The sequence below is a fragment of the Homo sapiens genome, chromosome 2 (assembly GCF_000001405.40).
Source record: "Homo sapiens chromosome 2, GRCh38.p14 Primary Assembly".
NCBI lineage: Eukaryota > Metazoa > Chordata > Mammalia > Primates > Hominidae > Homo > Homo sapiens.
In genome coordinates, this window is record NC_000002.12 from 28533333 (window position 1) to 28559051 (window position 25719).

The 25719-nt window shown below is 47.6% G+C and overlaps 1 protein-coding gene across 2 annotated transcripts in view, besides 4 other annotated features; it reads left to right on the forward strand.

The window, feature by feature from the left end:
- Positions 1 to 25719, forward strand: part of PLB1 (phospholipase B1) — a 148083-nt gene that overhangs the window by 37273 nt on the left and 85091 nt on the right. Inside the window, exons 10-17 of one of the 2 annotated variants that reach the window (NM_001170585.2) lie at positions 4954 to 5049; positions 5767 to 5846; positions 7034 to 7109; positions 8375 to 8479; positions 9880 to 9936; positions 15528 to 15599; positions 16678 to 16752; positions 19596 to 19659. In NM_001170585.2, the coding sequence (NP_001164056.1) occupies positions 4954 to 5049; positions 5767 to 5846; positions 7034 to 7109; positions 8375 to 8479; positions 9880 to 9936; positions 15528 to 15599; positions 16678 to 16752; positions 19596 to 19659 (625 nt within the window). The remainder of the gene's footprint in view (positions 1 to 4953; positions 5050 to 5766; positions 5847 to 7033; positions 7110 to 8374; positions 8480 to 9879; positions 9937 to 15527; positions 15600 to 16677; positions 16753 to 19595; positions 19660 to 25719) is intronic. The other variant, NM_153021.5, reaches the window with a different exon arrangement.
- Positions 5890 to 6184: a silencer, noted in NCBI's record as "tiled region #15095; HepG2 Repressive non-DNase unmatched - State 21:Repr, and K562 Repressive non-DNase unmatched - State 22:ReprW". NCBI's record gives its function as "represses a minimal TATA promoter and a strong SV40 promoter by Sharpr-MPRA in HepG2 and K562 cells {active_cell/tissue: HepG2 | K562}" and the evidence as "EXISTENCE:reporter gene assay evidence [ECO:0000049][PMID:27701403]".
- Positions 12210 to 12709: an enhancer, noted in NCBI's record as "H3K4me1 hESC enhancer chr2:28768409-28768908 (GRCh37/hg19 assembly coordinates)". NCBI's record gives its function as "activates a minimal SCP1, AML or CMV promoter by ChIP-STARR-seq in naive H9 embryonic stem cells {active_cell/tissue: H9 hESC(naive)}" and the evidence as "EXISTENCE:reporter gene assay evidence [ECO:0000049][PMID:30033119]".
- Positions 17070 to 17364: an enhancer, noted in NCBI's record as "tiled region #13650; HepG2 Activating non-DNase unmatched - State 22:ReprW". NCBI's record gives its function as "activates a minimal TATA promoter and a strong SV40 promoter by Sharpr-MPRA in HepG2 cells {active_cell/tissue: HepG2}" and the evidence as "EXISTENCE:reporter gene assay evidence [ECO:0000049][PMID:27701403]".
- Positions 17126 to 17326: a silencer, noted in NCBI's record as "peak3640 fragment used in MPRA reporter construct". NCBI's record gives its function as "represses an SCP1 promoter by STARR-seq MPRAs in K562 erythroleukemia cells {active_cell/tissue: K562}" and the evidence as "EXISTENCE:reporter gene assay evidence [ECO:0000049][PMID:32103011]".

The following is a 25719-nucleotide window of genomic DNA, read 5'->3' on the forward strand; positions in this document are numbered from 1 at the left end:
ATTGTTCCAGTTTACCCTCTGTTTTCTCCAGTGCCGAGTGAAATTTACGTGCCTCATTTGTTCTCTCCACAGCCCCCCTTTTTGGTCATTATGCATTACTTCATGAATGTATGCATTCATGCATTGACATGCTCAAGCATTTAGACATTGGTGCATTGCTCTCTGTACTCATTAATCCATGACATTAACTCATGCATTTATGCAGTCACGCACTGAAGTGTTCAAGCATTTAGATATTGCTGCATTCTTCTATGTATTCACTAATAGAATCATTCATCCATAAGTTATATTCATGTATAAATTCATTTTCTCATCTTACATGCAGACATATGCTATTGTATTTGTGATCAGTTTGTTCATGATAGCATATGATTTTTTAAAATGTATGAATGCATTTATGAATACTTAGACTCATCAATGATTTTTCCATATACTTCATCTTGTGTTTAAACATTCCTACATAAATTCTTGCATGCTTTCATGTATTTATGCCTTCAAACATTCTTGAATACATGTTGTATTCTTGTGCACATGTATTCAACTACATGTTATTTGTATTTTTAGTTATGCAAGCAATACACAAATATTTTCCTTCTAAAAACTAAAACATCAGTTAAAGCTAAAATATGTATCCTTTTGGCCACCTCCCTAATCCTCTGTCTCTTTTTCTTTGCAAACCTCTTACATATCTATAAATCCAAGCCTTATTTTGTGTGCTTGTATGTATGAGAGAGATTTAATATAGTGTTATATTGTATGTACTACTGAACAGTTTTTTTCACTAACCAAGTATTGTTGAGATCTAGTCATGTTGACATATATGGAATGAGTTTATTTCTCTTCCATGAGTATTTTGCTGTGTAAATTTACTACATTTTATTTCACCATTTTCCTATACTGATGGCCATGTAGGTATTTCTAGTTTTTCACTATTATAAACAATGCTACAATGAACAGTCTTGCTCATTTACTTGACTATGTGGAAGAGTTTTCCTAGATACAGTGATTTTCAAATTGTGGACTGAAGTACATTAGTGAGTCAAAAAATCAATTTAAAGGATTGCAACCAACATTGTAAAAAAAATAGAATAGAATAAACTCTAAAATCCTCGAGTTCATTGCATGTAGTAAGGTAAGTATTGGTTCATGAGATTTTTGCATCATTTCTATATGGATACTTGTACTGGATTGGGACGTGAAACACATCTCACACTGTGGGTCAAGATAAAAACAGCCTCAAGAGCTGGGCGCGGTGGCTCACGCCTGTAATCCCAGCACTTTAGGAGGCCGAGGCAGGTGGATCACAAGGTTAGGAGTTTGAGACCAGCCTGGCCAATATGGTGAAACCCCATCTGTACTAAAAATACAAAAATTAGCCGGGCTTGGTGGCAGGCACCTGTAGTCCCAGCTACTCGGGAGGCTGAGGCAGGAGAATCACTTGAACCCAGGAGACAGAGGTTGCAGTGAGCCAAGATCGCACTACTGCACTCCAGCCTGGGTGACAGAGAGAGACTCTGTCTCAAAAGAAAATAAAAAAAAAAGAAAAGAAAAAAACAGTCTCAAGAAAAGCGCCTGGAGTAGATTCTTATACCAGTCTTTAGGTGCGCACATTTTGGGTTTTAATAGGCTCTGCCTCCTAATTGCCCTCCAAAGTGGCTGAACTCTCATATTTCCACCAGTGGCAGTGAGCACCTATTCTCTACAACCTTCCCAACACTTGTTCTCAGACTTAATGATTTTTGTCAACATGAGAAATTCCTGCAAGATCTAGTCATGTTGATGACATATGAATTGAGTTTATTCACACTTAGAAGCTCACACTTTTAATTGGTTCAAAACATATGACAAAAGTAATCATGCCTCCTCATTTTTAAACAGCTGTAAACCAATAACATGATGTCCATAAATTTAGCTAATTACAGCAACACCAGCTAGCTTCCACTCAAATTCCCTCTTTATTCTATTTCTTCTTCCATCTTGATTTTTCCTATTGCACAAAAACCACCAAGGCTTTGATGCCTGGAATAAATCTCACCTCCACTTCCACTTACCCCAGAGGCCCTGTGGCTCCTAGGCCTGGCTCCTTTGGCCTCCTGGCCAGGCCTGCTGGTGTTGCCCTTCTCACAGCCCAGACCCACACTCACCTCCTAGTGGTACCTCTGGCCACACCTCCCCGTTTAAGCTAATCCTGTGGTGTAGCTCAGCATCCTTGTTTGAGAAGTTCTTACGTGGCATTTTTATTTTTCTGAAAGCACATCTCAGGTATAAGCTCTCCCTCGGTGGTTGTAAAAATGTGCTCTGTAGATGGCCGGGCATGGTGGCTCATGCTTGTAATCTCAGAACTTTGGGAGGCCAAGGCAGGTGGATCACTTGAGGTTAGGAGTTCAAGACCAGCCTGGCCAATGTGGTGAAACCCTGTCTCTACCAAAAATACAAAAATTAGCTGGGTGTGGTGGTGCATGCCTGTAGTCCTAGCTACTCGGGAGGCTGAGGCAACAGAATCACTAAACCCAGGAAGTGGAGGCTGCAGTGAGCTGAGATCATGCCACTGCACTCTAGCCTGAGCAACAGAGTGAGACTCTGTCTTTAAAAACAAAACAAAACAAAACAAATGCTCTGTAGAGACCCAGGGGCCACTGGAGATCCCTCTGTGGGCATATGTTGAGAAGGTGGGCACCAGCTGCCACCTGACTTTACAGAGCAGGTGTCAAGGGTTTCCTAAAAGTTCACACGAGAAAAACATGTTTTACCCTTAAGAGGAAATGTTGAGCTACTGTCCTGCCCCAACTTAGGACCTGAATTCTCTTCCCCTGTGGAGACCTTTGGGCTCATTTAATGGGAAATAAACAAGGGCCTGTGTCCACAGTTGTTCTTTAGGAGTTTCTTATGACCAAAGTCAGAGAGTCAAGTCAGCAACTATCCATTAGGTGTGACAATGACTCTGAAGGCAGGTGCTTTGGAGGTAAATGATGAGCTGGCTCACAGCAGTGACCTGAGGATGCTTTTTGGATCTGGACACTTGCTTACTGCTCTCTAGTTAAATTTGGCTTTATTAATTAGTAAGATTTTAAAAATCAGAAGAAAAAATGAAAAAAAGAGCTGATTACAAGAAAACAGACACATTTATCCCTTGTAAACGTCTCTAGCTACAGGTGGCAGCCTTTTGGAGGGTACACTGGTGTGTGATTCAAGAAACCTAAACGTGTTTCTAGTTTTTGACTGAATAATATCCCATTCCTTGGTTTAAATCCCAATAAAATAATTTATTAGAAAGAGTTAAGTTGGGTCTCAGGCACGTGTTTGATAATAGACATTCTTCCAAACCAGGGGGCAAACGATACACATGGAAATGTACAAGTTCATTTGAAGAAATCAGCTTTTTCCTGACTTTGGGTTCTAGGAGTTTATTATGTATGACCTTATAGAGGAGGGACATCTTATAGGAGCATAATGTCTTTTACTGAGAAATGGGGACAGTTGGTGTCCCGAGCGACAACCATGCAGTGCCTGGAATGACTGGGTGGGCCCCAATTCCCTCTGCAGCTGCAAGTAAACACCTTGACCAGGGGTTTCTACAGCAAGATTCACACTCTAGAGAGAGCCACACAGGGTCCCCCGCCTCTCCAGGGACGGTGGGTATGGTTCAGATGGGCAGCGAGGATGCCTCTAGACAGAGTTCCCCTGGGCTCTTCAGGAAAGAGAGGGTGATGTTTGATGTCACGGTCAGGGAGCAGCTCACTTAGGAGAAAACTAGACAGAAGGCTTTACGGTAACAGACCTGGCTGACCCGGCCTCCCAGAAGCCAGCCTCACACCAAAGCAGGGACAGCCGGTGAAGGGGCAGAGAAACAGGGACACTGCATTTCCTCCTGTGTGGTGCCAGCCCAGGTGATTGACAGCTGTCTCCAGAGTCACTGCCTGTGTCCCCTCCGGGAAACAGAACAGCTCCTTGGCCTTCCTTGTCTTCCTGTCTGAGCCAAGTTGCCTTAGGGGACAGCCAGTCTGCTGTTTGTTAGGGGACAAACTTAGAAGTTTGTCTTGTAATTTTTATTATTTTTCACATTGAAAAGGTAAAGCAGGCATGAGCCACTGCACCCAGCCTGTAATCCAGCACTTTGGGAGGCCGAGGTAGGTGGATCATTTGAGGTCAGGAGTTTGAGACCAGCCTGGCCAACATGGTGAAACCCTGTCTCTACTAAAAATACAAAAATTAGCTGGGCATGGTGGCGGGCGCCTGTAATCCCAGCTACTCAGGAGGTGGAGGTTGCACTGAGCCGAGATCACACCACTGCACTCCAACCTGGGCAAAAGAGCGAGACTCCATCTCAAAAAAAAAAAAAAAAAAAAAAAGGTAAAGCAGGGTCCGTTTTTGAGGTCCTTCATTTGTTGATTTTCATGACCTGCAGGAAGGGGAGTGGTGTGTGTGTTGGGTGCGTGGGAGATGTCTTTAAATACTCAGGTGGCAGGACCCACTCATACTCTTTCTCTAGGAATGCTTATCTTAGGGCAAACACAGCAAGAGAAAAGCTAATAAAATAGGATCACATGAAGGTTCCGAGGCCCATCTGGGGCCTTAAATACAGGGTTAATTGTATTTCCCTGTTGGACCTGATTTTCTTTGGGAAAAAGCGATTCCTCAAGTCTTTGGGAGTAAGTCTCCTGTCCCTCAGTGTGAGCTTCAGAATCACACCAGGTATTTCTGATCTTGCTCTGACTTTGAGTTTGCCCTTTCCTGATGGAACTTTTCACCTGTGGGGAGTTTGGTTTTTCCCAGGTGGATGATGGGTTGGGGAGAAAATAGAAGAACAAAATGAAGACAAAACTAGGAAGCTCTGGGAATTCTGTCCTCCTTTGTGGAATGCCAGGTCTAGATGGTGCCTTTGCCTGTGGTCTTGCCTGGCAGGGATGGGCCTGTTGTGAGTCTGGGTGGCCTCACCTCGTGGTCCTCCTGCAGGCACCCTCACTTAGCACGGTTCTCCTCTCACAGAATGGGCTTGCGGCGGGCGGCGTGGATGAGCTGATGGGGGTGCTGGACTACCTGCAGCAGGAGGTGAGGCCACGGGCCTAGGGCTTCCCCAAGGGCAGTGGGGCCCATTTACCCTCATGTGGCCTCCACCGGGGTGGGGAAATGGACCCCTGTGAGGGAGACTGGGACCCTCGGGAAAGGGGAAACTTTAGAGCACCCCATCTTCTCATCCTTTCAAATGAGAACATGGGCCAGGAGAGCACACTCCACTCCTGCAAAGGAAACTTCTGAGAGAAACTCGGCTCTTCCTTGAGTCCTCGGTGGCCCTGCTCTTCCCTAAGGCCTCTCTCTACCTGAGACTGGGGCGAGGATAAGATGGAGGGGGCCTGAGGACCTTCAAGACCTTTCTGCTCAGTGACCGTGATGCTGCTGCAGGGTCTGAGAATCAGCTGGGGGTTGCTGTGGCCCTGCCTTCCGCTTTGCTCCCCTGGAGGGCAGCTTTCTGCTGGAGGAGGCTGCAGGCCCATAGCCCCAGTGGTCTCCCTCCCCTGTGGACACTGGTGGGAGGCGCCCCGCCCACCGTGAGGGACAGAGAGTCCTGTTTCTGGATGGCACAGATGCAGGGCTGGCAGCGCAGACTGACCCTGACCAAACATCTCCCAAAGGATCAGGCCCAGTTAACCAAGGGGAGGCCCATCACACTCAACCACACCCCAACGGGGCCCAAGCAGGAGTTCCAGAAAGCCCGGCAGCCATGGCGACTTGGCAAATACTCACCTCCCTCTCTGTGTGTCCTCCTAGGTCCCCAGAGCATTTGTAAACCTGGTGGACCTCTCTGAGGTTGCAGAGGTCTCTCGTCAGTATCACGGCACTTGGCTCAGGTAAAAGGGGAAGTGGAATGAGACACGCATCTGTGACACGGCTGTCACGTGTGCGGCCTGTGGGGGCCCTTCATGTGCCGTAATCTATGAGGGAGCCCTAAAGAACAGAGGCCAAAGGAGGCCGAGAAACACATGCGAGCTCACACCCGAGCGAGTGGCAGAGTCGGGGTGGGGTGGGCCCTCTGCCAAGCATTGTTTTGGGGACTGAGTCAAAGAATAAAATACTTTATTCTTTTATTCTGGTTGATGTTGTGCCAGAGGCTCTCCTCAGTGCCAGAGTGATTTCAGAGTTCGCCTTGGCAAAACATCCATAAGCTAAGAAGTGTTACTTCTGGAAATTGGATAGAAAAACGTAGCCTAAATGTAGTTTAACTTCACAGAACTTGATTCCTATATATTTCTGAAAATGTTCATAGACTTTAAACTTTTTGGAGCCAAATCCTAAGAATTCTGGCTCTGGACCTAGAAAAGAAGTTCATGTGGAAAAAGTCAGGGCAAGGGCGGTGGAGAAAAGAGAGTGCTGGAAAGGAGAGAAGTGGGGTGCTGGGGAAGGAGGGCTCTGAAGAGGATGCAAGACAGAGAAGGTACAGGGGAGGGAAAGGGGAATGGGATGTGGGTGTCTGGTGTGAAGAACAGTGAGCGGGGAGGAGGAGGACTGAGAGATGAAGGGGGAGAAAGAGCTTCCCTCTATCCCATAGTCACCCCCTAGGAAGAGCTTTCCTCCATTCCATATCTACCCCCCAGGAAAAGCTTCCCTCTATCCCATAGCCACCCTCCAGGGAGAGCTTCCCTCCATCCCATACCCACCCCCCAGGGAGAGCTTCCCTCCATCCCATACCTACCCCCCAGGGAGAGCTTCCCTCCATCCCATACCTACCCCCTAACCCATACCCACCCCCTAGGGAGAGCTTCCCTCCATCCCATATCGACCCCCTAGGAAGAACGTCCCTCCATCCAATACCCACCCCCCAGGAACAGCTTCCCTCCATCCCATACCCAACCCCCAAGAAGGGACCACCCACCCTCTATTCTTCTCAACATTTATGTCCTCTAAGACTTATGCTTCTTCATCCCTACTCCTTAAGCAACTCCTATGCCCCTTCTTCCATAAGAGGCGGGCTGGATGCATCCCCTTCCCTGCCCACACTGCCTCCCCTCTCTCATTCCTGGTGTGTTTTAACCTGCAGCCCTGCACCAGAGCCCTGTAATTGCTCAGAGGAGACCACCCGGCTGGCCAAGGTGGTGATGCAGTGGTCTTATCAGGTGAGCCCAACCTGGGATCCCAAGCTGCTGGCTCACCGGGGTGGCGTGGTCGCCAAGGAGAACAGGAGTGATAGGGACAATTAGTTGAGTTTGCTAATGTTAGGACTTCTCCAGCTGAATTCAGGACTAAGTCAGGAGCAAAGAGAGCTACTCTTGCTTCACATCGTGGTAGTGATTTCAGTATTCCTGCATATAAAATGGGGCCTGCAGGACTGGTAGGGGTGCGAGTTGGGGGACAGTGGGGGTACTTGAGGCAAAAGATAGTGAGGAACTTCGAAGATTCATTCTGGAATGCTTTTGGTCATCAGTGCCACTTGTACCACATCTGGGGTGGGTGAGCTGGTTTTGCCCAGTGTGCCTGTCCCTAGCTTACAGCCCAAAGGCAAACCAGGGCTCCTGAAGATGCACATTGCAGTTCACAGAAGAGACCCCAAGAGAGGGTGAAGGGGTTGGGCGTGGTGGCTCACACCTGTAATCCCAGTATTTTGGGAGGCTGAGGTGGGCAGATCACTTGAGGTCAGGAGTTCAAGACCAGTCTGGGCAACATAGTGAAACCTCATCTCTACTAAAAATACAAAAATTAGCTAGGCATGGTAGCATGCACCTACAGTCCCACCTACTCAGGAGGCTGAGGCGGGAGAAGTCGTTTGAGCTTGGCAGGTGGAGGTTGCAGTGAGCCGAGATCGCACCACTGCACTCCAGCCTGGGCAAGACAGCGAGACTCCGTCTCAAAAATAAATAAATTAAATAAATAAATAAATAAATAAGGGCGAAGGGCTCAATGAAAGCCACCATCCCTCTTAGCAAACAGCTCAAAGCACGGTTTCTGTTAGCATGTGTTAACATGATGACTTTTGCTTATGAAGAAAATTGCATTTGAAGTTGCATGGTATCTCTCTCGCTCTGGAAATGACAACATTTTTTGAGTGGTTAAGGCACCTGACTCTACTGAACTTAGCTCTTGAAGAGAGCAGGGGGCCCTGCCACACGCTGGGCTGTCTTGTCGTTCCTAAGCTTCCAGAGAATATATTTTAGGTCTGTCTGTGGTATTACCTAATGCTGGTACTTCAGAGACAAATGAAAACTCAGCTTAGCTATCAAAGAGCCCTGAAGGGTGAGACAAGAGGGAGCTTCAGAATAGCACTTGACCACAACGCAAGAGGCAGATCCTGTCCCAGGGCTGCCGAGAATGATTTGGTCAGGTCTGGGGCCGGCTCTGCCTCGCTCATGTTCCTGGATGGGCACCTCTCTGCTCCCTTCTCCAGGAAGCCTGGAACAGCCTCCTGGCCTCCAGCAGGTACAGTGAGCAGGAGTCCTTCACCGTGGTTTTCCAGCCTTTCTTCTATGAGACCACCCCATCTCTACACTCGGTAAGTGGGGGCTGCATGGCGTATCAAGAGTGTGGTGGGGGCCGGGCATGGTGGCTCACTCCTGTAATCCCAGCACTTTGGGAGGCCGAGGTGGGTGGATTACTTGAGATCAGGAGTTGAAGACCAACCCAGCCAACATGGTGAAACCCTGTCTCTACTAAAAATACAAAAATTAGCCAGGCATGATGGTGGGCGCCTGTAATCCCAGCTACTCTGGAGGCTGAGGCATGAGAATCGCTTGAACCTGGGAGGCAGAGGCTTCAGTGAGCTGAGATCCTGCCACTGCACTCCAGCCTGGGCAGTAGAACGAGACTCAGTCTCAAAAAAAAAAAAAAAAAGTGTGAAGAGTGTGGTGGGGAGGAGGCCTGGGCCATACATCTGTTCCTGCCCCCTCTTCCACCTTACCCCAATAAGCCTCAGCCCAGTTCAGCTCTCCTGAACCCAGGATGCATAGTCTTAGGGGAAATACCCCCATATTATACTTTCCTGTACAATTTCCTCACAGGGTTGAACAGCCCCCATGAAATGTGCTGTTAGAGGCAGGGCAGCCCAGGGTGCATGGCCTAGCTTCCCCTCCTAGCTCTGGGGTGACCAGCTGTGTGACCTTGGACAAGGTGTTGAACTCTGTTCTGTAAAATCAGGGCCATTTAGTAACATGTTCTCTCTCTCGGTGGCCATCAGGGCCACATGAGTTAATACTTGGGGGGATGTAGAGTGGCATCCGGTGCTGGGGAAGTGCTCGCACCTCTTGGCCATTGTGGTTATTCCGAAGAGAATCTCCAGGGATGCCAGCTCTTGTCCCTCCCCCTGCACGCTCCTCTCCATCCATCTCTGGAAGGGAGGGGAATCTCAGTTGCCCTTGCCCGCTCCCCCAGGACACTGGGCAAGGGGCCACCCAGACCATGTAGCACTTGGTCCACACTTGCTGACCGAGGTCTCCGTAGCCTCAGTCCCGTGTCTGGGAACAGTCCCTCCCTCCAGGCTCCTGCCTGTTGGAATCCTTGTGCCATCTCCACACCACAAACAGTGTTTAAAGTGATGGTTTAAGAGGGTGAGGAGAAATATTAGCTCACGTTCCCTTCCTTCATCCTTCTACTCAGATCACACCTGAATCATTCCCTGCCACCCCCTCCTTCCACTGTTTAGTTCAGTGACAGAGAACCCCATGATGACATGGAGCTGCCTGACGTGCCACCTGCTCCTGCAGGCCCTGACCTCAGGGCCCTGACCCCAGACGGTGGTCCCATAAGTGCCCCTGTTATTGATGAGGGGCTGAGAGAAAAGGCCTGGACAGATCAGGCTGCCCCAACTCTATGCCAGAGAGAGCTTCAAAGTGTGTAGCAGGTCCGTTGCATTCCTGGGGAGACAAAAGGTCCCGCTGTCAACTGGTTCTCTTTTAGGAGGACCCCCGACTCCAGGATTCTACCACGCTGGCCTGGCATCTCTGGAATAGGATGGTGAGTAGATGGGGCCTGGGGTGGGGCCCACAGAGGAGGGGCAAGGTCTCCACCACCACTGAGCCCACCGTGCTGAGGAGGGGCTGCAGGGCGCCCCAGGATCCCAGGACAATGGTTCTGGGCCACCAGGGATGCTTCTGTCTCCCGGTGACGCCCCTCTCTGACTGCCTGAGACTTTGCCTCGCCACAGGTTCTGCGCTGCAGCCAGGCCAGTGAGCAGCAAAGGTCTCACAGGAGCCTCAGCCCTGGTTTCCCAGAGGTGGGGCCGTTTCTCAGAGTCTGTGTGGAAGACCTGCTTGAGTCAAGCACTGGGGAATGTGCTCCCCTCACCATTCCTGTCCAGCCTGCCCTCACACTTAGGCGGTGTTGTGCGGTTGTCAAGGCCCAAGGTGGTGCCTGGAACAAGCGTGGGCTGCAGCGTGATGAAGGCCTGGGTTGGAATGCTAAGCCCACCACTCACAAGCTCTGTGAACTCAGGTCTCAATGCTCTTTCTGCAAAATCCAGGTCAGCCCCTGGCCCAACATATCTAGCGCGCAGCTCGCTCCTGGCCTGTAGTAAGCACTCCACGTGGATTGGCCTTTTTACTGTAACTGTAACAGGATATCCCCAGATTCCAAAGGGCCCCCAGGGATATCTGGGATTAGTCAGGGGATGGAATGTGGCGTCGACGTCGAGGCTTTGAACCTTTTCAGGGCGTCAGACAGAGACCTGAATTTGCCATTTATTTTCTTCCCACCCAAGCTGCCTTATTTTTAGAATTCTAGTGACAGAAATTCATTTTTCTTCTTTTGTGGATCCGTCTCCACAACTGACATACTGTGTTGAGTACCAGGGACAGCTGCATTTCAGCACACATGAGCCAGTGTGAAACAGAGTGTAGGGAGGGAAGGGGCACGGCCTCCGACAGTCCCTGGCACTGGAAACCTACTGTCTGTCCTTTGAAGAAGGCATTTGAGTTCTCTGAACAGGGACGTCTCTCAGTGTGCCTGGCACTTGCGGGGACTATGTCCCCAGAAATCCACTTTGCTGCTGATCTCCCATGATGGGCAGAGAAGAGGAACCTGGCCCCTCCAGCAGGGACTGCTCTCCCAAGCCCTCTCTCAGGGAGAGGAGGGCTGATGATTCCAGCTCAGCCAAACCTCTCCTCTCCTGCCATCTTTCTCCCAACCAACAAAAGGACACCTGTGACATGGCTTGCCCTTGAAGGTACCACCATACCACCTTGTACCCTGCCCTTGTACCCTCCATGGTTCCAAGGGGGATACAAGAGACCCACCAAATGTGGCTTCTGTTCTCACCAGGCTTCAGGTGTAGCTGGGAAGGGCCAGACAGCCCAGAGGAACGAGAGTCAAAAGGGACTCAGCCAGCAGTGTTGTGCTGGGCCACGCACCAAGAAGCAATGTGAACAATGAGGCCGGGAGAGCCCATGAAGAGGGGATTTGAATGGGCTTTGTGAAATGTGTTGGAGGAGGTCACGGAGGGCGTTCCCAGGCAAAGGGACCTTTGTGAGCAAAGGGCATGGAGAGAAGAATGCGTCAGATGCAGCAGCAAGGGCAGGAAGAGGCCTGTCTGATAAGAGAAGAGATACGGAGATAAGGCTCCCAGCGTGAAAGGAGCCCTTGAGCACCAGACAGAGAAGCTGGAGAGGGCAGGTCCAGGGAGAGGGCTGGATTCCTATCCCTTTCTCCTTTCATCATGCTATTTGTCCTTGATATTGGTGGCAATAGCAATAATAACCACCTTTACAGAGCTGCCAGGTGATGGTCCCATGCATACAAATAAGGTACACCCCACGTACGGTCTCTTAAAACTACTCGAGGGTCAGAATGAGCACGTACACAGGAATGGAAGGTCTCACCCTCAAGGCCAAAGGCCTGCGACACAGAGAGTGTCACAAGGGCTTAGAAGAGGAGGAGGATGTGGCTTTCCTAGGTAAGCAGTGACCTCACTCTCTCCACACCCATACAAGTCCGGTTTCCCAGTGCCAGTGCAAACCCCAAGCTTCCTGCAGCCTCAGCCAGCAGGGACATGGGGGGCAGGGAGAGACAGGATAGGAGGGGGTTCCCCAAGCATCCCCAGTCCCTCGTTTCCTCACAAGCAAAATGCCAGACCATCCCACAGTTCCCGGATCGAGCACAGCTGCTGGAACACATCAGAAGCTCCTGCAGACCCGAATTCAGCCATGAGAAGCGACGGGTATAACAGGTTAGGGCGAAGGGCACTGGACAGGAGCCAGAAAACCCGGGCTCTGATTTCGGTCCCACTTTCGGTGGTTTCTTGAGGCAAGTCACACGGTCTTTCGGGGTGTCCATTTTCTCTACCTGCCAAAAAGGTCTAAGCACCCTTAGCCAGCACCCAAGGGTTTGTGAAAATATGGGAGGGCATTGGGCTCCTTCCTACCCTTGGTTTCGCTAATTGCATCCTCCAGGTGCGGGGAGGGCGGGAGTCTCTGCCACCACATCTGTGATTCTTTGCTGGGCTGGACTGGGACATCGAGGTGGAAGGCAGGTGTACCTGTTCTGTGTCTACCCTCGCAGACACACAGAGCCCAGGTGAGGGCTGCCCTCTGTGTGGGGAGCAGAGAGGGACTGGCAGAATCCCCATGATCACAGGGAGTCCAGGTCCATTACTCTGTCCTCAGACACCCCCGGACACAGCTGTAGGGAAGGAGGATAGCTCTCAGCTCTGCAGCCCACAAAGCCACATACCCAGACCACGTCAGCATCCTCCCTCCCTCCCTCATCCTCCAAGCCCTAGCATAGGTGAGCATTGAGGACCAGCAAAGGAAAAGCTCCACCCATCAGCATGGGAGGTGACAGCAGCCCCATCTAAACATGCCTGGAACTGTCCTGGCTGAGTGAGGCCTCCAGGCTGAAGCTTGCACTCCTGGTGCCAAGCCGAGGAGGATTTTGTGTCTGGGACACGGTTCATTCCCTAGGCCCTTTCTGCTGCTGCCGCAATAATTTCTGGTAATTCTTGTACATCAGTCGTTTTGAAGGGGACCCACCTTTAGGGAACTGATGTCCCTGGCCCTCTCAGCAATCACTGACCCCACCTTATGCCGAGTCTACACCAGGTGCCGAAGCCACAGGCAGAATAAGGAACTTGGGGATTGCTCACAGTCCAGGGAGGATTCTGCTGCTCGGAGAGGATTTTTAAGGTCATTGCCCTCACCCCTCCCACACTGCAGTTCATTCCTCGGTGGCAGGAAGCCGTGCTGGGGAGATGTGCAGAGTGGGGTGGAAGCCCAGACCAGCCCCGGTTGTCCCTGGAGTAAATAGCACATGTGCATTTATGGGACCCACAGTGTGGCAGGAGAAAGAGGCACACATGAGGAATTATTTGAAGTAACTGTGTCATTTCCATCCTTTCTGGGGATTGGGGATGCAGGAGAAGAAAGGGTCAGAGCCAGTGTAAAGGGAATGAATGGAAGCAAGGAGGATGGAGGGGACTCCTAAAGGGACATTTAGGACAAAGTTCTCAACGGAAATGGGTTTCTTGGGAAAATCTATGAATTTTCCTTCTTTGAGGCCCTTTAAAAAAAAATAGACTCTGCTTTATCCACTTTGTCAGAGTCATTTAGATATGGCTCTTTCAAGGTTTCTTTCCAGATTCCATTATGGATTAAATTCTTGAAAGGTTGGGGAAAGGTGGGCGTGGTGGCTCATGCTTGTAATCCCAGCACTTTGGGAGTCCGAGGCAGGAGGAATGCTTAAGGCCAGGAATTTGAGAACAGCCTGGGCAACATGGCAAAAACCCTGCCTCTACTACAATACAAGAAATTAGCTGGGTATGGTGTCACACACCTATAGTCCCAGCTACTCGGGAAGCTGAGGTGGGAGAATCACCGGAGCTCAGGAAGTCAAGGCTGCAATGAACTGTGATCGCACCACTGCACTCCAATCTGAGCAATGAGAATGAGACCCTGTCTCCAAAAAAAAAAAAAAGAAAAAAAAAAAATTGGGGAAGAGAAGGTGGCAAGACAGATCAGCACCTGGCCCTCACCCAGGCCTGCTCAATACTTCCTTTGACAGCCGCCTTGAATGTTCCAGGTGGGACCTTGTTTCTAGGAGCGGCCACCATCAGAATAAAACAGAAAGAAGCGTGGAGTCCATTTCCTCTCCTAGGCCTTGAGCTAGAGAGTTGCCACTCCTTTTCCAAATGTTCAGCTAATTATACCTCCTTATCTGATTCTCTTTCAGTCTGGCTGAAGAGCCAATTCCACTAAGGGTAAAGTTCTTTTCTTGTTTCTTGCTTATTGGGGCACAGATGCTGGGGTAAGATACCGCTGAGGAATCTGAAAATCCTCATGGAGGTTGGTAGAAGCTGTGACTGAGCCAGACAGGCTGCCCCATCCAGTAGCTTCCCACGTTCCTTGGCAGAGTCATTGGAAGGGGAGGTGAGGGCCAGAGGTACGACCAGAGCCCAGCACCTGTGGGCAGCCAGATGACAGTAAAACTGGTTCTCCAACAGTAGGAAATAGCCCGTGCAGAAGAAAATCTGCAATCCCTCCAAGCTATTGCATTTTTCTTTGTAAGTGTTTATATATGTATAATGAACATTTAAAAATAACAAAAACAACTTTTAAAAAAAATCCCTCCTTCCCTCTAATTCTTTAACGGCCTTCACTTCCCTATGTCTAATGCTTTACTAAGTTGATAATCTGCTGGTTTCTCCTGCTGTTATACTATAAATGTTTTATCTACGTTATTAGATGTCATTTGATGGCCTTCGTGGTTGTCATTTAAGTAGCTGCCTATTTCACAGCGGATACCACACCACCCACTCCTGGCTCACTAGATACTCTAGCGGTTTGTGAGTGTTGGCTGTGCTGTGTTCCATGTCACTGTATTTGTGACCCCGTGAAAGACATGAGACTTGACCCAGGCCCCATAACTTGCTTCACTCAAAGCTGTGAAAGCAGTTCTCAGGGAACAGAGGGTTTCCATTCTCTATTGTGCGCAGATTTACCTACATTTGGGTTGTGGACACAGGCTGCGGGGAGGACTTGGGAAAGAATACATGCTTTATGTAAAAAGCGATGCATTTGCCCTTCCTTCCCATACTGGCTCTCCTGTCTAAGGGAACTTGAATCAGTGAGCCAGAAAGTAGCTGGGCAGCAAGGAGGGGACAAGAAGCCAAGCTGGATAACCGGCCCCCACGTGATCAGAAAGCTGTGTGACCCATTGCTAGATGTTTGGTTGGATGCAGGACACCAATGTTGGAGTCCCAGCTCTGTCCTGGCTGGCTGGGCCCCACCTCAACCTCTGCTGTGCAGCTTTTCCTTCTAGGAGAGGTAGACTAGGAAGTCCCTTCTATATATATATATATAAAACCGATGCTGCTTCTCATGCTGTGGTTCTCAAACTCGGGTGTGCATCAGAATCGCCTGGAGAGCTGCTTACAACACAGACTGCTGCCCCAGCCCCAGAGTCTCAGACTCAGTAGTTTGGGGATGGGGGCTGGACACGTGCATTTCTAATGCGTTCCCTGGTACTGCTGCTGGACTAATGAGTCTTTCTCACTGGTGACTTGGCAGGCTGCTACCTGCACAAAACTTCCCTGTTCTAAAGCCCACGTTCCTTTCTAGATGGAGCCAGCAGGAGAGAAAGATGAGCCATTGAGTGTAAAACACGGGAGGCCAATGAAGTGTCCCTCTCAGGTAGGAGGGACTGGGCAGAGGAGGGACTCTTATTGAATCGAGGGCGCAGGTGGGGTGGCCAAGTGGGCTTTGCTGTGAAGTGGGTCTTACCTGAGATGTGAATCCTGTTTCTGTTCTTCTGGGCCTGCACACAGTTTTGCATACATAGCAGCCCTAATGTTTACAGTTGTGGGCCATGAGAGCTGTTCTAGCAAAACTGCAGCCCCCTCCATGCCTGTGGAAGGCATAGGAACAAGGCCACAGCTCACCTGGCCCCAAATGCTGCCTCTGGGTCCTGGCCCTCTGCCCCAGATGCCATTTCCAGACCTTCCTCTACCTCAGAGTGGCAAAGAAGGGAGGGATGGTGAGTATCTAAGTACCTGAAAAGTGGATCATTTTGACTACATCTTAAATATGTGCCTAGTATGTAGTAGGCTTATAATTAATGTTTCCAAATAAGTGGATGAGAAAATAACTGGACATAAATGAATGAGATTCTTTCTTTTTTTTTTTTTTTTTTTTTTGAGACGGAGTCTCGCCCTGTTGCCAGGCTGGAGTGCAGTGGCACAATCTTGGCTCACTGCAACCTCTGCCTCCCGGGTTCAAGCGATTCTCCTGCCTCAGCCTCCCAAGTGGCTGGGACTACAGGCACGTGCCACCACACCCAGCTAATTTTTTTGTATTTTTAGTCTTTCTATCATTTAATGCTAGTCAAGTATTTGGCTTTCTTGATGAATTGGTAAGTTTTTTGTTACTATGCAATAATAAGTATACAATTCACCTTCTTGCACTTTTTGCTTTGGCTGCCAAGAAGCTTAAAATTAGATTCCCTTCTCATCAAAATATATATACTTAGCCTGGTAGCATGAACCCCCAGGGTAAAGAGCAAGAGAGACTGGCTATCACAAATGGGAAATGTCAACGCATTCATGAGTCCTTCAGGGACCAGAGAGAAGAGCCAGAGAATGGTTTGGTCCTCACTGGAAGCGTGATGTGAATGTTCCTAGTTGGCCAAAAGCATCACTGGATGCTGAAGCCTGATAATTAAGGGATACAGACTTCTAGGGTCACGATTCCAACATGTCACCTTTCCCTGCAGGAGAGCCCCTATCTGTTCAGCTACAGAAACAGCAACTACCTGACCAGACTGCAGAAACCCCAAGACAAGCTTGAGGTAAGGAAAGGTTTTCTGTAATTGACAAACATGCAGATGAACCAGGGGCTGTACTTCTTGCTGAATCTTTCGAACCTTCCACGTGGTTTTTTTTTTTTTTTCTTTTGAGATGGAGTCTCACTCTGTTGCCCAGGCTGGAGTTCAGTGGTGCCATCTCGGCTCACTGCCACCTCCACCTCCTGGGTTCAAGCAGTTCTCCTGCCTCAGCTTCCTGAGTAGCTGGGGCTACAGGCGCACACCACCATGCCTGGCTAATTTTTGTATTTTTTTTAGTGGAGACGGGGTTTCACCATGTTAGCCAGGCTGGTCTTGAAATCCTGACCTCAAGCAATCTGCCTGCCTCAGCCTCCCGAAGTGCTGGGATTACAGATGTGAGCCACGGCGCCCAGCCTGGATTATTTTAAAGCAGATCAACTGGCCAGATTTGCAACCTCAATACAATTTTTTTTTTTTTTTTTTGGTGGGAGGAGGGCGGGGACAGAATCTCGCTATGTCATCCAGGCTGGAGTGCAATGGTGTGATCTCAGCTCACTGTAACCTTAGCCTCCTGGGTTCAAGCGATTCTCCTGCCTCAGCCTCCTGAGTAGCTGGGATTATAGGCGCGCAACACCACACCCGGCTATTTTTTTGTATTTTTAGTAGAGACAGGGTTTCACCATGTTGGCCAGGCTGGTCTCGAACTCCTGACCTCATGGTCCACCCAACTCAGCCTCCCAAAGTGCTGAGGTGACAGATGTGAGCCACTACGCCCAGCCATTCCATGTGGTTCTTAACATCCTGGAACTCCCGCTGCCCCTAGGCATATGGAGGTCTGCTACTAACCGCTGATGTTCAGTCAGGACAGGCTGGGGGAGGGAGAAGGATCCAGCATGTGGCCATCCCCTGGGTGCCTGGAAGCAGGTCTCCCCCACAGTTCATCTTCCGAGCTGCCTCCGCAACCAGCATGGGAGGCTTGACAGAGTGTCTGCACTGCCCAGCACCTCCTGTTCCCAATCTGTTTTGATGTAAGACAGATTCTTCTGACCCTTCCCAAATCTCTGACAAATTCTTCTAAAATCATCTGAGAACTTCATCTGAAGAGAAAATTAAGAAAGAGCGGAGAATTGTGGTGAGGTCTGAACCCAGATTGTGTGGAGCTCGAAAGCCCTTGAGTGGGTCCACACTGGTAGGGGGCCCCTGACGGGCGCTCATGCCTTGCTCACTGCTTTTCTCAGGAGTCTCCCTGAGACTTCCCATGGAGATTAGGCAGGGCACCCTGCACTCCTCTGGGAAAGCAAGGAACACTCAAGGGTTGATGTCTTCTTTCCCAGAGAAGGGGGGACTGAGGTGAGCTGAGACAAATTTGGTCCTAGTGACATTCTTCCCTCCCTATTTTATGGAAAAGGGTGAGATTTGCTCCAAATAGTGGAGGCAGAGTTGATGGCCTGGGCTTCCACCCTGACAGACACAGTGTGAAAGACTCGATTTATCAACTTGACTCACACTAACCAGCATAGCAATGAGCATACACCTGAGACGCAGCATGGCACAGTGAGGTAAAGTAACCAGCTCTGGGTTCAGATGCAGACTCTTTCACTTATGGGCTCTGTGTCAATGAGCAAGATACTTAACCTCTCTGTGCCTTAGTTTTTTAACCTGGGAAATAATGACAGTAATAGTCGTACCTTGCGGAGTTATTAATGTCATAAGTCAGTAAGTATAAAGCACTTATAATAGAATCTAGCATACCATGAGTTCTATATAAGTATTGCTATCATTATCATTGGATAAATGCAGTGATACATTTCTTCAGGACACATTTATTGACTATCTGCTGTGTACCACTAGAATGCAAGCTCAGTGAGGCAGGAACTCAGGGTAGGCAGCAATAACTATTTGTTGAATGAAAAAATGAATGGATAGGTGGATGGATGGATACCAGGTATGAGAGATTAAAATGTAAATAAAAAATAGGACTTGTCCCAAGGAACTCAGTCTGGTAGAGAAATAGACAAGTCAACAGGCAATTATAGCACAATGGTACTATAATAGGTACTGTAATGCATGTTTTCATGGGGTATTCTGGGAACACAGAGGAAGAGAAACTAACCTAGACAGGAGAAAGTTGAAGAAGGCTTTCCAAAGGATACCCACGACCTCAGTCTTGAAGGGTGACTAAGGCTGAGGCAGATTGATGGGAGGGTGAGCAAATAGAAGAAAGGAAAGTGAAAGGGGAGAGGGTAACTACTTGGGCAAAGGCCTGGATGCAGGGAAATATGGAGACTTAGGTCAAGGGCTGGTGGTTTAGAATATTTAGAGGCCTCTTAGGCCATGCTAGGGAGATTGGACTTTTTGCTGAAGTTAATATGGTGTAGTAACTTATTTGTTCAACTAACAAATACTTGTTGAGCATCTGCTATGCCAGGCACTGTTCTAGGCTCTGGGGACACAATAACAAACAACATGGATAAAAATCCCTGCCTTCATTGAGAACTTGGGCAGAGGAGTGACACATCAGATCACGTTGAGAATGACCACTCTGGATAGATTCAGAGGGTGAGGAGCAAGTCTGTGGGGCAGACGGCCATGATGCTGGTGAATCATTGCAATATCCTGGCAAGAAATAACAAAGGCCTGAACTTAGGTGGAGGCAGAGGCACTGGAGCAGAGGGAACAGATTTGGGAGCACTTGGAAAAGATGTGGACAATTGGATATGAGTGTTGAAGGAGAGGGAGAAATCTTAAATGACATCAAAGTTTTACTTTATCTTAAATGATGTTTTCCAAAATAGAGGCCCCACTTCTCACCCATTTCCAGTTTAGAAAAATCCATTTTCCTTATTTCCCTGTGTGTCTCATTTCAGGTAAGAGAAGGAGCGGAAATCAGATGTCCTGACAAAGACCCCTCCGATACGGTTCCCACCTCAGGTACACAGCTTGCACCCAGTGATTTTAAAATTCATTCGAGGCCTGAAATCATCCAAGTAAGGGCTTTCCACATAACCTGAAATACTCCCGAGTGGTTTCTCAGGGACAACAGAAATAACTCTGTATGTATATTTGTAAAGCCATGGCTGTGTTTGACTATTCTTTAACTAAAATGTGATATCATTATCAGAAAGCATTTATTGAGCAGTAACCCTGTACCAGGCCATGTTCTGCAAAGAACCCAATGTTAGTTGTGTGAGTTGTCATCGTCCCTGCCTTGACGCCTTGATGGGTGGATTTGTTCTCCAAAAGAGCAAAACTACCTTTAAGCAGAAAGCAAAAATAGCCAGTCCATAGTCCCTGTCTGAGTTGCCTGCAGATTCACTCACACACAGAATGCACTAAAACACCACGCAGAGCAGGAAAGCACGTCATCTTATGAACGCGCCATCTTCACTGCCTCTCAGTATTTCTAAAATGTCTGTTGCTGGGCCATAAAATGGGGTGTTCTAGGCAGTCATCAGCAACCTTCCCAAAGACGGTCTGCCTGAGGGCTGTACCTTTGCCTCCAGGCAAGGTAGCCTGGGTGTGATAGCTATGGGCATGTAACCTTGGGAAGTCATGGCCATCTGGTGACCTGAGTGACTCAAAACATCAGCCTAGGAGCATCTGTAGCAGTGTTATAGATTCCCATGCTTGGTCCTAAAGGGGGGGGACTCACGTGTCCATTTATTTGTTCGTTTATTTACTCATTTGTGTGTTAGAGGATTGTTGAGTGCCTCCTTGCCTTCAGGAGTTTACATTCTAATGAATCTATTGTTTCTCATGGCCTCAGGATTATAAAAAACAGAAAATTAAGTTTGGGGATGTCACAGTGCCTAGCAAGAATCTTCTGGGGATGCAAATCTTTGTAGTCAGATTGTCTCCTTGTGCTGAGCATCAGGAGAGCAAATAAATGCTTGGCTGCCCTTCACACATGCCGTAGCTCTCCACACTCCAACTAAGACACATGGCTGGCAGGAAAGTTAAAAATATTCTAACCAAAACCTCGGTATATAACTGACTCTTGTTCTAAGTTGTAGAAGGATGGAATAGGGGATGTAGATCTTACATATACACATTTAGTCTTTATTTCCCCTCATACATGGTGCCAACTCATTCCTATTAGTTAACTAGCAGGACTTTATTAGCAGAAATAAATCATCAGCTTCATATGTAGACCCTCCTATAATAAATACCCTTACTCAAAAATAGATAGATTAGGTATAGATACAGATAGATAGATGTGTGTTTATATAGATAGATGTGTGTATATATATGTCTATATAGAGAGAGAGAGAGAAATTTTTTTTTTGAAACACGGTCTTACTCTGTTGCCCAGGCTGGAGTACAGTGGCATGATTGTGGCTCACTGCAGCCTCAACCTCCTGGGCTCAAGTGATCCTCCTGCCTCAGCCTCCAAGTAGCTAGGACTACAGGCATTATCACCACACCTGCCTTTTTTTTTTTTTTTTTTTTTTTTTTTTTAAGAGATGGGGTCTTATTGTTGCCCAGGCTGGTCTTGAACTCCCAGGCTCAGGCGATCCTCCAGCGCTGGGATTACAGGCATAAACCAGCTCACCTGGTCTAGAGAGAACATCTGAAAGTTTTAATAGCCACACACATTTACAGCAAAGTAATATCCATTCCCTTTTTAATCTTATTCTGAAAGAATGCTCTCTAAAGCATTTTATAATCTGTCTAGATGATGTTTCTGTCATGAAAGTGATAACCAGCCAATCTCATTAGAGCATATCTCAACATCTAAAAGCTGGGTAAAATGTAAACCTCTTCCTTATTCCTTGACCCTGAAGATTAGTGTGTTTATCAGTACTTGAAGATTAAAGATCAAGAAATCTCAAGGCCTTAAAATCTGAGATCCTCTGGTGACAGGAGCCATTTATATAATAACAAGATGGGTAGATTTAGGCTCCTCGATCTGACCAAGGTGAGCATGGGACCCAAACACTCGCTCTCCACCTGGAATCAGCACTCATAGATGAGTGTTGGGCCTGCACTTCTGAGTCTCACCTGGAAAGTGTCATTCAGAAAAATGGTCACAGTTAACTGGCCAATAATGAAAAATACATTTCATTATTGTGCCAGTGATCTTTTTTTTTTTTTTTTTTGAGACAGAGTTTTGCTCTGTCACCCAGGCTGGAGTGAAGTGGCGTGATTTCCGCTTACTGCAACCTCCACCCCCTGGGTTCAAGCGATTCTCCTGCCTCAGCCTCCCAAGTAGCTGGGATTATAGGTGCCTGCCGCCATGCCCAGCTAATTTTTGTATTTTTTGTAGAGACAGGGTTTCGCCATGTTGGCCAGGCTGGTCTTGAACTCCTGACCTCAGGTGATCCACCCGCCGTGGCCTCCCAAAGTGCTGGGATTACAGGCATGAGCTACTGCACCCAGCCATGTGCCAGTGATCTTGACTGAACATTCTAACTATCCTTGTGACTGATGGGGTAGGTAAAAAGACAGCACAGGTGCATATTATTATTTTCCTTTGATATTAATCATATATTTCTGGTGAGGTCATACACTCTTCTGGAGATCATGTTTGCAATTTCTAATCAAAATAATCTGATATATGTCTTATAAGAGGAGATCATCTTATCTTTATACCTCCAGTGACTCAAGCACATGGTAGAAGCCCAATAAATATTTGCTGAACTAATCTGAATGAGCATTTCTAAATCATCAGATGAACAATCCCTAGGATTGAAAAAGGTATTGAAAAATCAACTAGACCAAAATGCCTTTCATTAAAAGAATTTTTCACTAGGAATATCTTTTACAATAACTGTTTTGCATTTTGCCTTCAAAGTTACTTTCCTTTTTTTTTTTTTTTTTTCTTTTTTGAGATGGTCTCAGTCTGTCGCCCAGGCTGGAGTGTAGTGGTGCGATCTCACCTCACTGCAGCCTTGATCTCCCTGGCTCGAGATCCTCCCACTTTAGCCTCCCAAGTAGCTGGGACTATAGGCCCATGCACCATGTCCAGCTAATTTTATTTTTTGTACAGACAAGGTCTCACTATGTTGCCCGGGCTGGCCTTGAACTCCTGGGCTCAAATGATCCTCCTACCTCAGCCTCCCATAGTGCTGGGATTATAGGCATAAGCTACCATACTGGTCCAAAGTTATTTTCAAAAACCTTCTTTATAGTCTCATTTTCTAGTGCTTCTCCAAACTGACCACAGATACATGCATCTAAACATCATTAAAAGTGATGTTTCAAAATGAGATGCAACCTGTCATCAACAGGCCATGGCCCTGGCAACTTGGGTGCCTCATTCTGAGTACACTTCAGAGCTCGTGAGTGATGTGCTTTATCCACTGACTTACGGGGCCCTAGGATGAGATACATAGAGTTAATGTAAGTGATTTTTTATAATCAGTTGGTATTGGGTAGCCAGTAAAAACTAAAAACTTGCAACTTTTTCCTCCTAGTCAGCACATAGATGCAATTTGCCAAGTGCTCTCTCCTATGGACTTTATAACTTTGTAAACACTCATATCATGCTCCATTGCTAGACGGCCCTCTCCCTAACATAGTTAGCATAACCAAGAAAAACATATTGGGCCTACTAGTGAGCTTAGGATTTTCCCAGCGAGAAAAGGAGTCACTTTTTGAAAATAAAAGAGTGACAATGAGGAGTCACAGGGGACATGGCTTATTGACTTTCTGATGAAGGTGGCTATGTTGATGGCAAATTCCACACAGTGGGAAAAATTCAGAGCTTTTGCAAATAGGGATCCACAAAGCTAATTACATGCTGCTGTCACCAATAGTATAAACCAGAACAGTTCATTCATTTATTTTAAGCCATCAATTCCTTGCTAAGTCCCTGATGTCATTGATTTGACCCATTTGGCTAAAATCAGCTCTTCAAAAGCCAATATGAAAAATGGCCGGGTTACAGCACTGGGTGGTCATTCACCACGGGCATCATCTCATCGTGAGCCAGCAGTGCAATGTTCAGTGTAGGTCATGAGGCCGTCTCTGTGGTCACCACCTACTCAGGGGTCTTGTGACTTGACCTACCCTATCATCAGGAAGGAATGATGCCCTGTGGGAAATAACAGCCTGCTTGTCCCTGGACACAACCAGGCTACTGAGCGAGTTCAAACTCCCCCAAGACACTTAGAGAAGTGTTTCCCTGCCCTTTGGTTTTCATCATCTAAAACTTCGAGATCTGTAAAGTCCCTGTCACAGAGTCACTTAGCCTTTAATTCCAGTTAACACGTTTCTTGAGCTCCTCTGTGGAAGGCACGCATTGGTTCATGGAAACTCACACCGAAGACTCCAAAGGCAAAACATCGTTCCAATCTTGAGGCAGCTGCTTACTGCCATTGTGGAAGTCTTAATGTAAGTCCCTAAAATCAGACGGCAAATAGGTTGGGCAATGCTTGGTGACAATTGAGAGAAAGCATGTTTTTCAGATTAGGGCCCCAGGTGGTTTAAGTTGCTGGGTTACACAAGACAAAGCCCTAGCATGCCAAGCCTTTCTCCTGGGTATAACCTTCCATGTACAGTGGGCAGTGTCCCCATTCTACAGTCTAGTGTGCAATTTCCTTGCTATTTGTGATGCTTCGTCATGGCTTGGATGGCCTTCTGATAAGAGGTCCCCTCTGTAGAAATCGTGATGAGTTAATGATGTGTTTATCAGCTTCTCTCAAGGTGGTGGACAATTTGTACCAGATAATGTTTAGCTAATCAGCCCACACAAATTTAATCTTATCACTAAATAGTTCTTTTTCCAGGGAGAGCAACTGCTAAAGTGCTTTACTGTATTTCTAAGCTGTGTGTGTCATTAATGATGACATTAACAAACCTCAAATCAAGGTCTACGGAAAATTAGGCCAGTGAAATGTGATGTGCTCTATCTTAACAATAAGATCACAGATGAAGTCAACTCCTCCCACCCAGGTTTGCTTCATCTGGTTTATTACTGTATCTCTTGCTGAGATTCCTTCAGAATGGCCAACTGGAGAACCACCCCCACCATAATCAACCAATCTATCAGATGACGTCAGGCACTTTCAGGGCGGTATGGCCATAGACCAATCAGTCTATCTATACATATGTATGTACACACAGACATAAACATAGGGGGGTGTGTGTGTCTCTGTGTGTGTGTGTGTGTGTGTGTGTCTATGTGTTTTCTGCCTGCTACAAATTTAGGAGACAGGAATGGTAGGTTTCAGCTGCCTCTTTAGCAAACTGTAATGATAATATTTTTGAAGCAAATTTATCTATCTCTGCCATATTTTACCCAGTCCCAAGGATTTCCCCTAACATTTGCATACGAGCTAGTGTTCACAGGATTCACTGTATGATGCATTATGGCAGTAAGAATACAGTGTTTGACTGTTATCACCAGAAGCTAAAATAAACCACTCTAGAGTTGGAGGGAAAAGGTCTTATTTTTTGTTTTGTTGCCTTTTTAACCCCATTGCGTGATTTCTTTGAGAAGAGGTCATTTTAAAGTTCTCCTGCACAGCCTGATGGACACGCGCTAATGTGTGCAGCTGGCTTTGTGATTTGCTATTGTTCTTCTAACCACATGGTGTAGCTGTGGATGGCTGGGAAGAGCCAAGCAGGCTGTAATCATGTGGAAGGGTGCATGTGTGCATGGTGCATATGTGCATGGTGCATGTGTTCATGGTGTGTGTGTATGTGTGTGTGTGTGTGTAAGGGTGGATTCAAGGCATGGCGGTGGGGAGGAGAAAGAACACTGAAGAAGGATAGTCAGCAGCTCTTGAATCTAAGAGGCAGAGTTGTCATCAGGCTGTGCAGTGGCAGCTACAGTTGTGAGGGCCACAAGACAATTTATACATACACACAGGAGAAACAACTCTAGTCTTTTTTTTCTTTTTTATTGAAGGAGTCTCACTATATTGCCCAGGCTGGTCTCGAACTTCTGGGCTCAAGTGATCCTCCCAACTTGGCCTCCCTAAGTGCTGGGATTATAGGCATGAGCCATCACACGCAGCCAAATATTTATTTAATTTTTTACAGACA